Source organism: Homo sapiens, chromosome X (genome assembly GCF_000001405.40).
Source record: "Homo sapiens chromosome X, GRCh38.p14 Primary Assembly".
Classification (NCBI taxonomy): Eukaryota; Metazoa; Chordata; class Mammalia; order Primates; family Hominidae; genus Homo; species Homo sapiens.
Genome location: NC_000023.11, coordinates 15671500 through 15684666, shown reverse-complemented (window position 1 = coordinate 15684666; position 13167 = coordinate 15671500). Strand labels below are relative to the sequence as shown.

Here is a 13167-nt window from a genome sequence, read left to right as displayed (position 1 = left end):
TAGCCATAGAATACACATGCAGTTATCAGCACAGGAGACTAAAAGCCCACATTTCTTGGCGGTCAGTTCCAGGGCTAATCGTCAGTCCCAGGTAGCTGAAGACAACCCTGAAGCCATTAGTGCAATTCCATGGGACTCCTAATCCTCCCACTGTTTCTCAAGATTATTTGAAAGTTAATGGAGACAGTACAGTCTGAGGCATCCCAGCCTATATCAGAGGTCTTTAGGAAGACATTGCAAAACAAGCCTGTTAAAACTCTTGTCCTCATCTGTACAAAACCCCCATGACAAGTTTACCTATACAACAAACCTGCACACATACCCCTGAACTTAAAATAAAAGTTAAAAAAAAAACAAAAACCAAAAAACAAGTATTGTTCTCCAGGCTTTGGTTCTTCAAAATTAATTGGAAAAATAATAGAACTTTATAACACAGTTGAGTTATAATATAAATCAGTGCTGTCAAATACAACTTTCTCTAAAGATGAAAATGTCCAGTATGGTAAGTTGTAGGCACATGAGGCTATAAAATGTTAATGTGCTTAAATTTACAGGTAAATACCCACAGTGGCTACATTTAATTGTGGCTACATTTTAGACAGCGCCATTCTAGTCCAAGTTATCCTAAAAGGAAATGTTTCTTTTCTTTCTAAAAGCAGGGAGATCATGAACATTAAGAATCACTGGAATAATATTAAATTTGTACTATTTACATTATAGCTGATACTCTTTATATTTCATTAAGAATTAACATTATTAAATTAATTTTCCTATGGCCTAAGATCTCATGCCTAAATCTTTTTTTTTTTTGGAGACAGAGTCCTGCTCTGTCACCCAGGTTGGAGAGCAGTGGCACGATCTCGGGTCACTGCAACCTCCGACTCCCGGGTTCAAGCGATTCCCCTGCCTCACAGCCTCCCGTGTAACTGGGACCACAGGTGTGTGCCACCATGCCTGGCTAATTTTTTGTATTTTAGTAGAGACGGGGTTTCACCATGTTGGCCAGGATGGTCTCGTTCTCCTGACCTCGTGATCCGCCCCTCATGGCCTCCCAAAGGGCTGGGGTTACAGGCGTGAGCCATCATGCCCGGCCACCTAAATCTTTTTATGCGATCATCACGCTAAATTTCACTAGATGATACGCTAAGTGAAACTGATTTTATTTTCATCTTGGATAACAGGTGTAGGCTTTTATTTTTATCTTGTTATATTACAAGTCCCTAAAGTTAGGACTATCAACAGTTACTGTCTGCTACTTGAGATAACAGCAAACAGCAATCTGAGTTGACAGCTAAAGATTATCTGTGGAGAGCCTTGGGAGCAAAGATATGATGAGCACAGAGCACTGGGCTGACCTGAAATGCTGCTTACCGAATTTGCCACAACCTCCTACTTTCATTCACTCCTTATTCTGCTTTGCCTCCTCTTAAAATGTTCAGACTTAAACATCTGAGGCAGGCACTGAGCCTACGATGATGATAACAAAGTACTAGAAGTAGCTGCCACAACTTTCTTTTTTTTTTTTTTTGTTTGAGACAGAGTACAGATCCTGGTTCACTGCAACCTCCGCCTCCCAGGTTCAAGTGATTCTCCTGCCTCAGCCTCCTGAGTAGCTGAGACTACAGGCATGCACCACGACGCCTGGCTAATTTTTGTATTTTTAGTAGAGACGAGGTTTCACTATGTTGGTCAGGCTGGTCTTGAACTCCTGACCTCAGGTGATCCGCCTTCCTCGGTCTCCCAAAAGTGCTGGGATGAGCCACCGTGCCCGGCCTCATAACTGAGCTTCTAACCCTCAAGAATCTGGGGTTATTCTTGGTTACAAGCGTACACTAGCCTTCTGCTGGGGTACTGAGCTGTCAGAAACAATGAGAACTGTGTTTACAATTGAGCAGATGAGGGTCCAGAATATAGGAATAGGACCTGCTCAAAGGCCCAGGGCAAGAAAGACCACAATATTCTCCTTGGGGAAAACAGGTTGGAACAGTGAAACATACCACAAACAAAATCAAATGTTGACTTCCACCTGTGTTTTTCTAGTAACTTAGAAACAAGAACACATCATATAATATAGCTATTAGTCAAGTGAACCCCATCTCCTCGGGGGACCACTATTTGGTTTCTGTTGGCACTAAAAGCAGCAAGTTATCCTAATGGCATAGACTGATTGGACTTTAGGCATTTAACTTTCAACTTTCTGCAAATAAAGACAAACTAAATATCAAGGCAAAAACCCCACACTCACACAAAACGTTAGTAACTAGATAAATATGACTAAATTTTTTCCACGTTAAGCCTTAGAATGCAGTCCCAGGGTTCGGAATAAGCCAGTCTGGGTAGGATATGGGCACACCCAGCAATCATAAATTTGTTATGACCCCGACCAACTCATTTCAATGAGAACATAGTCAATGTTGGGATAAAACAAAATAAACTTGTAATAAAAAATTCTTCTGAAGCACTTTCAAGGCAATGGATCCAGCTAAATCAACATTATTAACGGAATTCCTTTTCTTATGTGCGTGGAGGTTCAAAAAGGGTAAACCCGAAGAGCACAATCTGAGAAACCTCAAATCCTGAAACAAGCCAGTATTTGAAAACTATGTAAATTCATTGTGAATAGTGGAAAATATATTAAAAAAACCCAAAAGATATATTTAGCCAATTCATTAAACACAACTCTCCACCATCACAGACATCTCTCCTATCATCTCAGCGGTTCTCTCCCAGGGTTATTTTGCCCTCCCTCCCAGAGGACATTTAGCAATGTCTTGAAACGTATCTGAATGTGATCATTTGGGGAGTGCTACTGGCAAGAGATCAGAGATGCCACTCAACATCCAGTGAGCAAAGGGCAGCCCCCACGCCACAGAATGATCCATCCCCAATGTCCATCGTGCCACAGTGGAGAATCCCTGCAACATCCAGCTGCAGATAGTACCTTGTATTTCCAGGAGGGGAACGAGATGAGAAAGGCTTGAGGAAGAACATTTGCTGTGTCACATGATCTTCTGTGTTTACAGCAGAGTACACACTTGCAAATCAGTCAGCTAGAATTAATTCTGCAATTCTTAACTCTGGACAGAATATTCTGAAGCATGAAGCCACTGAACTGCTTGCAAACATTCATGTGCAGCTTCCAGCAATTTAAGATTCACAGAAATAATCTGCAGTTTGTGGATCAACCTTAGTAAAAAGACAACTGCTAACCAGAAATAATAAAGAACAGGTTCCAGAATATCTGAAACCTTCTCCAGTTTCTGCATGACATCATTTTAACATTTTAACATTTGTCAAGAAAGAATGTTCCACATTTATTTTACTGGACAAATAGAGAAACAGTTATTCTCACAGTCCATAAGGCATATAATCTCACACTGGAATGCCCATGACATCACAGCTACAAACGCTTAACACGCGTGATTTTTATAAAACCAACAAGCCTTTTCTCCTCTCTTTAATGAAATGGTGTACTCTCAGGCTTATTTCTGGATTTTGTAAGTACAAGTACAGAGGCTGCAGAATGGCCTGGGCCTTGGAATCTGGAAGCTTCTCCACAGCAATTTGCATGGGGACACAGGACGAGTGACCCTCAGGGTGTTCATCACCACCATCTTACCCTGAAACTTTGATCAGTTCCCAGATAACTTGCAGGAACCCAATAACCTAGAGGGAAGAGGGCAGAGAAGTGAAAGCTGTAAACAATAGAGACTTAAGATCATGAGAAAACCTCTAAGTAGGACAATATTCAGACTCGTAATACGCACCCTGAGGTGAAGGGGAGGGCAAATGGGAGTCAATTATCCACTCTTGTTCCTCAAACTCATTGGTCACCCCAAGATGACAGACCCACTTGCTTTCACTCACATTCACTTTGCGCTTCTGCCCGCCCACCAGCCACATGGACTTTAGTTCTTCCAACTCCTGCCTTTCCCTCTGGCCTGTGCAGATGCCCTTCCTTTCCTGGACTCTCCCTCCATCTGTGACTGGTGAATCCCTACCCCCACTTCAGGTGACTGACACCAGCGTCACTTCCTCTAAGCTCCCCCGACCACAAGCTCACCAGGTCAGCCCAGAACTGCTTTGTGGTCACAGTGCTTATCACAGTCGAATTAATACCTCACCAGGAATGTACTTTATGACTGCATCCTCTCCAGTATCTAAGCCCCATGGTGGTAGGGACCGTGTCTGCCTTGGTCAGAGCTGCATCTCTTAGGGACACAGTGCCTCATTCAAAATGGGTGCTGGGAGTACTAGCCAACTGACCCGAGTAGGCTCCCTTGGTGACAAAGATGTTGGTCCGCATTTCAAGAACTAAGAACTGTGCCATGACTGCCAGCATGCTCTGAGACAGTACTAGGGGTCTTTCCTTTTCTCAAACGTCATCACCCATTTGTAGGGATGTCTATACTTTTAAAACACTTTTAAATATTTCTCCTTTGAGAGGAGGGTCTCATACCCCTATCTAAAAGATCCAAAGGACCCCCCAAATCCTGCCTGATCTAAAAAGAGGACCCTCCCTGAGTATGAACCTCATCTAGTCTCACAGGGCTGGGATTCTGCCAGTTAGCACTTTCATTTCAAAATGTATTGTCATTTCTTTTGCTCCAAGCACAGTGGTGGGTGCTATGATGCAAAGATGACCAAGACTTGAACTGTACCTTCCAGGTATGTAATTTCTCCCTTAGGAGCCTCCTGAAATGCACATAGTATGGGTAAGAGAAACACAGAGCAAACCAGTTTGCAGCAGGGTGTTTTTTGCCACCTCAGATTCTGCCTTCTCTTGCCAAAAGAGGGGCTCTCAGCAGTATGGCCATGGTGGGGTAGTGGTGGGGGTTGGGGTAGGTGGGAATGGGTGGCAAAAGGCACAAATGTAGAAGTTGAGGGGCACTAAAGACACATTTCCCTTACAAATCTGAACTTTATTTCTTTACACCATCTTTCCAAGAAGAATGTAAGATATAAAACCCACATCATGGTCCTCAGTGATGCTGAGAAAGGAGGCAAACGTGCTTTCATCCTCCCCTCTCTTTGTGCACATTCATGCTAGTAATTGGCTGTGAACTAGCTCTTCTCCTCTGTACTGCTGTCCTTGATCCTGCTCCATCTAAGCTAGAGAGAAGACTACACCTACGTGAAAGGAGCGAGAATCATCTCTATGTGCATTGTGAAATAAAGCACAGCAGGATGAGAAGCCAGTCTTTTGGCACAGTGCCATGCGCTTTGCTTTGCATATGCATCACTTTGCTAATGTGCGCTGAACTCAGGGAGCCAGAGATGTGCAGCCATTACATTAAAGGGGACTGGTAGGAAGTTAGTGAATCCTGTGGAGGTTCCTTACCTCTAGGCTTGACTCCCTACCGGAGGTCTTTAGGCCAATGTATTAGCTCGTAAGAAAGTACCATAGACTGGTTGGCTTAAAAATTTTTGTTGTCTCATGGTTCTGGAGGTTAGAAATCTGAGGTCCAAGTTCTCTGCAGGGTTGGTTCCTTCTGAGGGCAATGAGCGCTCTGTTCCAGGCCTTTCTACTTGGATGGTTAATTTTATGTGCCAACTTGGGTAGGTCATGGTACCCAGATGTTTGGTCAAATACCAGTTTAAATGTCACTGTGAATGTATTTTTTAGATAAGATTAACATTTAAATCAGTAGACTTGGAATAAAGATTATTACCCTTCATGTGGGTGGGCCCTACCCAATCCGTCGAAAGCCTTAAGTTGAAAAAGACAGGTCCCCTGAGGAAGAGGAAATTCTACCTCCAGACTGCCTTTGGACTGGAGCTGTGCCATGGCACCAGTTTGTGCTCACAATCCAGTCTGAATGTGTCCCCAAAGTTCACGTTTTGGAAACTTAATCTGCAACGCAAAAGTGTTGGGAGGTGATTAAATCATGAGGGCCCTCCCCTCATGAATGGATTAATGCCATTATTAGGGGGAGCTGGTTAGTTTCTGAGGTAGTGGGTTCCTGATATAAGGATAAATTTGGCTTCTTTCCCTTCCCTCCCTCCCTCCTTCTTCACCCCCAACCACTCCCACCCCTCACATGCACATGTTCTTGCCCTTCTGCCTTGTGCTATGGGATGATGCAAGAGAGAGCCCTCACTAGATGCTGAGCAGATGCTGGCACCATGCCCTTGGACTTCCCAGCCTCCAGAATCATGAGCCACATAAATTTCTGTTCATTATAAATTATCCAGTGTCAGGTATTCTGTTACAGCACAAAACTGAGTAAGACAGGCTGTAATATCAATTCTTCCCTGGTCTCCAGTCTGCTGGCCTGCACTGCAAATTTCACGAGCCTACATTCACGAGCCAATTTTTAAAAATAAATCTCTCTCTAAACACACACACACACACACACGCACAAGCACACACACAGGCACACCCACACATACATACATACACACACACATATATACACATACACACACACAATTGGTTTTGTTTCTCTGGAGAACACCTAATAAACCTTGCTTCTGGTAATTCCTTGGCTTGTGTCAGCATTAAATCCAATTTTCGTAAGCCATTCTCATCTTGTCTGTGTCCAAATTTCCCTTTTAATTAAGGACACCAGTTATATTGGACTAGTGGTCACCCTAATGACCATAATTACCTTTATACAGACCCAATCTCCATATGAGGTCACATTCTGAGGTACTGGGGCTTAAGACTTAAACGTATATGAGTTTGAGATGGGAGGGTGCAATTGAACTCGTAACAGCCAGTGACACCTAAAGTATGTCTGCGTTGCCTAAAAGGTGCTGACAATTCTCAAACCAAAGTTAAAATCACTTTTGTTTAGTTTTATCTGTGTTTGTGTAAATACAGTTTTTAGTGGGAGTGTGTATGTCAAAATGTCTAAGGAGATGAAAAATCACCTTGTTGAAGCCATGTAAAAAAGTCTGGCTCAGGATTTAAAAGACAGACTGCCAATAAGCTTTCAATATCTTATCTTGATAGTTCCTGCAGCCAGGTAAGAGCATCTGGTTTTTAAATAACTTCACTATCTGAATTCACTTAGCAGGTTTAAACAGCAATAGTCCATGGGTCAACTGAATTTAGAATCTGTTTTCCCCTTATTAGGGCAAACTTCAAACTTGTACAAAAAAATGGTGAGAATAAATCATCTATATATCCAATACTCCATTTCAACAATTACCAGTGTGTGGCTGGATACCGCCTAGGAGAGCTAAGCCTTCTGTGCTACACATCCTTTGCTGTCACTGATTATTCATGTATGCCTTGGATATTACTAACATGTTCTTTTTCTGTTGTTTTGCAGCCTTAGAAATGTGTGAAAAAAGAAAAGATTCTAAAAGTCTTTAAATGTCATTCATAAGTAATGTATTTATTAAATGCCTCATAGCTTGAACTCTGCCTGATTAAGCAACTTATGCGAAAGAGACAGGAAAAGTACTAACAAAAGGTTACAATTATATTGAAAAATTCCTTGATTGGCATCAGATTGACTCTTCATTTTCTCAACTCCTGATTTCAAAAGGAAGCCTGCCTTTTGCAATTTCCTGAAACTTAAATTAGAGATTACGCTGCTATGTCTTAAGAAAGCTTAGCTTCCTCCTCTCACTCACTTCTTCCTTGAGAGTGTGATCCCAATCTGAGGTTGCCAAAGGTTTCAAAATATATTATACCTGATTTGTGTGTTGCAACTAACTGCCCCAGTGTGGCCAGTGACATGATGAATTTCCCTCTTTCCATCAGATTTCCTTAATATTCATATGCAATCACAAGGCACTCAACCTTTATTCCATTGCAACTGTGAGCAGTGGCAGCCTTTTTGCTTGGTTCCAAGCACAGGGCAGCTACGTATAGGCACAGAGAATGGTGCCCTTGCTGTTTCGCCTTTCGGTTAATTCCAGCCCAGGTACTGATTTAAAATAGCCCAGAAAGTTTTTCATTTCCAAAATATTCAAGAACAGTGCAGCTTTTCACTAAGTCCCTGAAGACAGGGGAGGTGGGGTGAACTTTGGTTCATTGTGAACTCTGATGCAGGCTATGAATAGTGACTCCTCTGAGAGATGCGCGGGGCAGCATCTTACCAGAGATTTCTGACTATTCTCCATACTCCAGCAAGACTTTCAAAGTGCATAGTGGAAATGGTCAGATTATCAGTAAAGAAGAAGGGGAAGCAGAAAGCAATGTGGTATTCAGTGGCTAATAAGGAGCATATAAACAAATTAAGGTTTACGCATCTTCGTTAAGTCATTTCCCAAGCTTTTCCAGCAAAAGTAAATGTGAGAGAAGTACACAGATATTAATACTAACGCGTTTCCAGCAGCCTCAGAGCAGCAGCATTTAACGCTGAATATCACACAGAATCCCAGCCACCAAGAATGTCTGCATTTTGGAGGTTCCTCTCCTCCGGCTCTGGGGCAAGGCACAACAGAAAAACTCAGATTTGTCCAAGGGACACAACTGTGCTTTTGATCTACTCTGGGGTGGCTGTGTCTGTCCATAGCCCCTAGCATAGTCAGGTGGGAATATCAACAATGCAGACCCGAGGGAGTCCCAGCTTGCTGCTCCTTGGTTTCTGGACACTCCTCTCATCCCGCAATGTCTCTGGGAAAGCTGTTCTACTTTTTAATAGACAGAATCCTAAAAGGATGTCTGGTGATCCCCATAGCGGAGAAAGAGGGCTAGAGTGGGGAAGTGGCTATTTCCCCGCCGCCAGCCTCCCACTCCCATTCCTCAGAGAAGCCCCGCCAGGGCCCCGGCCAACCTCGCCGCACCAAAAGCTTCTCTGGCTCCAGGGCCGATAGCGGCACGCGGTCATGTTTGCGGCAAGTGGCACAGTTCCTGCCCTCTCAAGCAGACCACGCCCTGCTGCTGCCCACGCTCCTTACTGCCGCCCGCCCTTACCCGAACGACTTACCTGAGCCAGAACCTCCTCGTTCGCTCCCGGTACCCGAGGATCCCGCACGCGGCCATCTTGGCCACGCCCCCTCACGTTTAGCCACGTCCCTACGCAGCAAACGTCATTTCGTCATTCCAGGTTACGCCCCTATCAGTCCCCATTCTGTCCCCGACCCAGGCTGAAATCTCGCCCTGGCCACGCTTCCCCAGCGCCGGAGTCCACACCTGCTCTGCGCTCTGGCTACACATCTCCTGTCGCTGCCACGCGCCTGCACGCTAACTTGCCGACGCCTCTGCCCTCCGCCTGCTCCACCATCTTTGTTACGCCCCTCAGAGCAACAAGGCACGCCCACACGTAAGGACCGCGCCCCCCACGTTCGAGGCACGTCTCTGCGTTCCAACTACGTCATGTCCCTACTTCCCTTTTCGCGCCACCTCCCTTGCCGGTCACTACTCCGCAGCCCGCCTTTCCATCTGTGGCCACTTTTCCACCCTTCGCCCAGTGATCATCCAGTCACAACTAGTCTGCCTACCCCACCTCCCTCCCTTGGGCTCACGTCCCTACTCCGCCTGAGGCCGACCGTCCCGCGAATTCGAATTTCTTTTTTACACCCTTGCGACTACGCCACGCCTTTCACGTAAGGGCTAAAGTCAGCTCGTTCGGGCCACGCCCCTGCGGTACGCCTGGGTCACGCCTCTTCCGCTAAGCCTTGCTGCCTGCGCTCCTCACTGGCGGGGCCGTTCCCGCCGTGGCCGTTCCCACCGTGGCTAACCCCTTCCATTCTCTCGGAACAGGCAAGACCCCTCTGGTCCGCGTCACTTTTCTTACTGCATTCCACACCTCTCTTTTCTGGCCAGTCCTGGCCGTCCTCTCAGGCCACACGCTACAACCTTGTGGTCCTCATTGGCCACTCGCATCCTGCGCATGCGCACTTACCTACCTTCACTTCTGGTCACGCGTTAGGTTCCCAGGCCACCCACTTTTGGTTCCACTCTGGTCACGCCTCTCCCGCCAGTTGCACGCTCTCTGCGCTCCTTTTAGGTGCGATACTTGATCCCGGGAAGCCACGGAGGTGTTGGAGGGGCCCACCAGTCTCCAGAGAGGACTGTCCAGGTCCTGGAACCAGATGTCCGCGGCATTTATAGAGTGAAATGAGCCTGCGGATCTCTGATCCTCTCCTAAAAAGTGACTTTCTCCATGTATCTCCCAACTCTAAACACCACAACTCGTTAAGCAAAAACCGAGTAGGAAACAGAACTGATGGGCCAGTGGTGGAGCAATGTTCCTTCTAGCTAGGTTTCATGTCCTTTAACCCGATATGGAGATAAACTGGAACCGTGTTCCTTCCAGCCCATTTAAAGTCAGCGGACTTTAAATGCTAGGGAGATACATGGAGTAAGCACACTCCTCTACTTCCTGATGTGTCCTCCTGATGACTTTTCCTAGGCACTTGGTGCCCTAATGCTCTCTAGGTCCTGTCTAGACACCACCACATTCAGACCTCTGTTTGCAGCCCCCTGCTCCAAGATTACGCTTTTTTACTCCCTCCATTCGCAATTCTGGGTTCACAGGAAAAAAGTGAGGAGGTTATTACCAGCTTTTCTGTCCAGAAATTTCTGAACGGACATTCTTAGAGGATGGACACTTTCCATTAGCCATTCATTCATTCATTCATTCAAGACAGATTTATCAAGTACTATGTTCCAGTAAGAAATAAGACAAGAGTCAAAGAGATCACAGACTGAGCTTCCCCAACTCAAGTTTAGATGGCACAAGAATTGAGAAAATTAAAGATGGTGTAATAAAGGAGTTGATAGGTGGAAAAGGACTTGATAAGTGCTGGTTTGTTGTTCTAATTAGCAGGAGTATTTTGGGGCAGCAAACATAGGAAGCCACTTACATAGCAGTTAGTACAGCTCCCTTCACAATAAATTCTCAATCTTCATTTAAAGTATTCCCTTTTCACTTGTATAGAGGATTACAATTTTTCCCTCCATGGCAGTGAGATTTACTATATACACTTCTACATATGCCAGTAATCAAGATTTTATGATCACATATAAAGTGTAAAAGTTCCTTTCTCTTCCCACCTTCCATCCATTTCTGCTTTGAAGACAGTGGGAACTTTCACAATATTGAGCTACAAGGAGCACAGAGTAAAAGACAATTTTCAACAAAACATTTTTTATTAAGCTCACCCTGGCTCTGAGAACTCTATCTCATTTATATAAAATGTTGCCAATGCTAATCATTTTTTGCATGAAAAATTAAACACACCGGAAATGGGATCAAGTGCAGCCTGTGTAAATTACTGCATTGATTTTTATAGCATTATTTTCTCCCAGATGATTTGAGGCCGCGTACCAAAATATAGGCAACACTGTATAAAGTAAGTATTATAGTTTAAGGAACCAGAGGGGAAATTCATGGAGGGAGAATAAATAATGTAGCCAATGGTAAGATTAACACTCAAGTATGCACACTTTCAGATCCAGAACAGTTTTTGAAGGTGGGCAAGAGATCTCACTCTAAGCTTCCATAGAAAACAGGAGATAACAAGTATTTTAAAGTTTTACGGTGTTCATAAAAACCAATCAATCAGGATTTTGTTTGCTTTTGAGAAGCACTGTTTGTTTTTTTAAAAATAATTTTTAGCCCCAAGGCAAATCCCAGTTCCTCATCATGATGACGCTGTGAGCTACGTGGGAAATAAGTGTCATAAGTTGTTACACCCACATTCCCTCAATGGAAACTGTTGGCATAATCACAAAGCACAGGGCACTGAATCAATTTCATGAACCATCCAAAATTTCCTGTTCGACTGAGTACACAGCCCCACAATGGTCTGGTTTAATTCAGGGTAGCATTTAGATAATCTTTCCCCATAATGGCACATAAGTTTCAACTCACATGTCAACTCCCATTTATTCATATTAGTGGACTGAATAGCTCAGTTGGGGTGGCTGAGTCCATGCACAGAAGGAAAAAGTTCTGAAATAGATAAAAAATGTTTGTCATGGGTGTGGGATGAGCAAATGGCTGCAAACAACCTGTCATCTCTGATTTGTAGTAATAGGGATCTCTTGTGCACATCTTTTAGGCAGTCCACAAAAACATTTCTCATAAGACTTTTGATGAATTTCAGACAGTAGAGGGTTCAGGGTCATCACTGGCCGAAACGTAGGATCAGAAATTCTGAGATATTGATTAATTCATATGTCTTTAATATTAATGAGAGCATATAACCTAAAAGTTATGTGGTCTGATCCCGCCCCCGCCCCCACACCCTTTATAGAGGTTGGCAAAAGAAGTACCTGTTGTCAGGGCTAAATGTGACTAGGTGACCTCCAACTGGTGGGCAAATTGATGATTAAGGATGGAAAATACTATTTCATAGACCATGGCTGCAATACTGTTAGCCTAGTAAAAAGAGAAAATTGACTTGCCAAATCATGAGAAAACTCTTACACCTGAGCAACAGTGGAACCAGCTAAACCTGTAAAAGAAATGTCTTGCTTTAACTACATGAGACCCATTATAAAGCATTGGTCTCCATGCACAAGATGAAACACACAGACACACATACTTTTTTTTTCCCATTTAAGAAACTGTCCTTTAAATTGCTACTTTAGGAGCATAAAGTTGGCAGAATTACACTCACTCAGTTGATCTGAATTAATTTTTATTTCCAAACGGTAGTGATTAACTTTCTCTGAAGTAGAAAAATGTTAACTTGTGAAGAATAAGACAAAGTTCATAATGATTATGGCTACTGATTAACCTACAAAATTTGATGAGCTTTTCAAATATCCTTGCTTAATATGATTTCTCATCTTAAAAAGGGGATATATGTGATGGAGACAAAAATATTCCACATTATAGAGTTTCTTGCTTACCAAGGATACTGGAAATTGTGTGTGTGTGTGTGTGTGTGTGTGTGTGTGTGTGTGTGCGCGCATAAAATTAAGCATACCAAAAGATTGTAACATCATCTGTTCTATATTCTAAAATTATTATTAAAATAAGCTCATTTATCTTTTTATTAAGATGGCCAATGAAAAATAATTTCCTGTTTTTTGTAGTCATGGGCACGTAGTGGGCTGCCAGTCCAACAGCCTGTGATTAGTAAATAAAGGGCACATTGGAAACTCACTGTCAGGGAATGTCCTTCCCATCTCCCATTGTCCTTCTCTGTGTCATTTACAATGAACCCATTCCCACATTGAAATCTTCATTAGCCTCTCAGGACCATTGTTGGAGAATCCAGACTCTCTGACCTCTAAGATCAGAACCCAAC

At 43.7% G+C, this 13167-nt stretch overlaps 1 protein-coding gene, 1 long non-coding RNA gene and 1 pseudogene across 8 annotated transcripts in view, besides 3 other annotated features; 1 reads left to right on the top strand and 2 right to left on the bottom strand.

The window, feature by feature from the left end:
* The window catches only part of CA5BP1-CA5B (CA5BP1-CA5B readthrough), a 112954-nt gene extending 103745 nt beyond the window's left edge, over window positions 1–9209 (bottom strand). For both annotated transcript variants that reach the window (NR_160544.1, NR_160545.1), the window contains exon 1: window positions 8889–9209. This is a non-coding gene — a long non-coding RNA (CA5BP1-CA5B readthrough). The remainder of the gene's footprint in view (window positions 1–8888) is intronic.
* CA5BP1 (carbonic anhydrase 5B pseudogene 1) overlaps window positions 1–9751 on the bottom strand; it is a 28806-nt pseudogene extending 19055 nt beyond the window's left edge. Inside the window, exons 1-2 of one of the 4 annotated variants that reach the window (NR_026551.2) lie at window positions 9711–9751; window positions 8889–8977 (exon numbers count right to left, since the gene is read on the bottom strand). The product of NR_026551.2 is annotated as a carbonic anhydrase 5B pseudogene 1, transcript variant 1 (transcript). Of the gene's footprint in view, window positions 1–8888; window positions 9210–9710 lie in introns of those variants that run through there. The other 3 variants (NR_160541.1, NR_160543.1, NR_160542.1) reach the window with 3 other exon arrangements.
* Window positions 8926–9544: an enhancer, noted in NCBI's record as "NANOG-H3K27ac-H3K4me1 hESC enhancer chrX:15693246-15693864 (GRCh37/hg19 assembly coordinates)". NCBI's record gives its function as "activates a minimal SCP1, AML or CMV promoter by ChIP-STARR-seq in naive H9 embryonic stem cells {active_cell/tissue: H9 hESC(naive)}" and the evidence as "EXISTENCE:reporter gene assay evidence [ECO:0000049][PMID:30033119]".
* CLTRN (collectrin, amino acid transport regulator) overlaps window positions 9023–13167 on the top strand; it is a 48327-nt gene continuing 44182 nt past the window's right edge. Inside the window, exon 1 of one of the 2 annotated variants that reach the window (XM_017029680.2) lies at window positions 9023–9224. The gene's annotated coding sequence lies outside the window, so the exon portion shown is untranslated. Of the gene's footprint in view, window positions 9225–9281; window positions 9679–13167 lie in introns of those variants that run through there. The other variant, XM_024452411.2, reaches the window with a different exon arrangement.
* Window positions 9134–9253: an enhancer, noted in NCBI's record as "active region_29448". NCBI's record gives its function as "activates an Ori minimal core promoter by ATAC-STARR-seq in GM12878 lymphoblastoid cells {active_cell/tissue: GM12878}" and the evidence as "EXISTENCE:reporter gene assay evidence [ECO:0000049][PMID:35858748]".
* Window positions 9777–10280: an enhancer, noted in NCBI's record as "nonconserved acetylation island sequence 104". NCBI's record gives its function as "activates a minimal heat-shock promoter by reporter assays in Jurkat T cells {active_cell/tissue: Jurkat}" and the evidence as "EXISTENCE:reporter gene assay evidence [ECO:0000049][PMID:17135569]".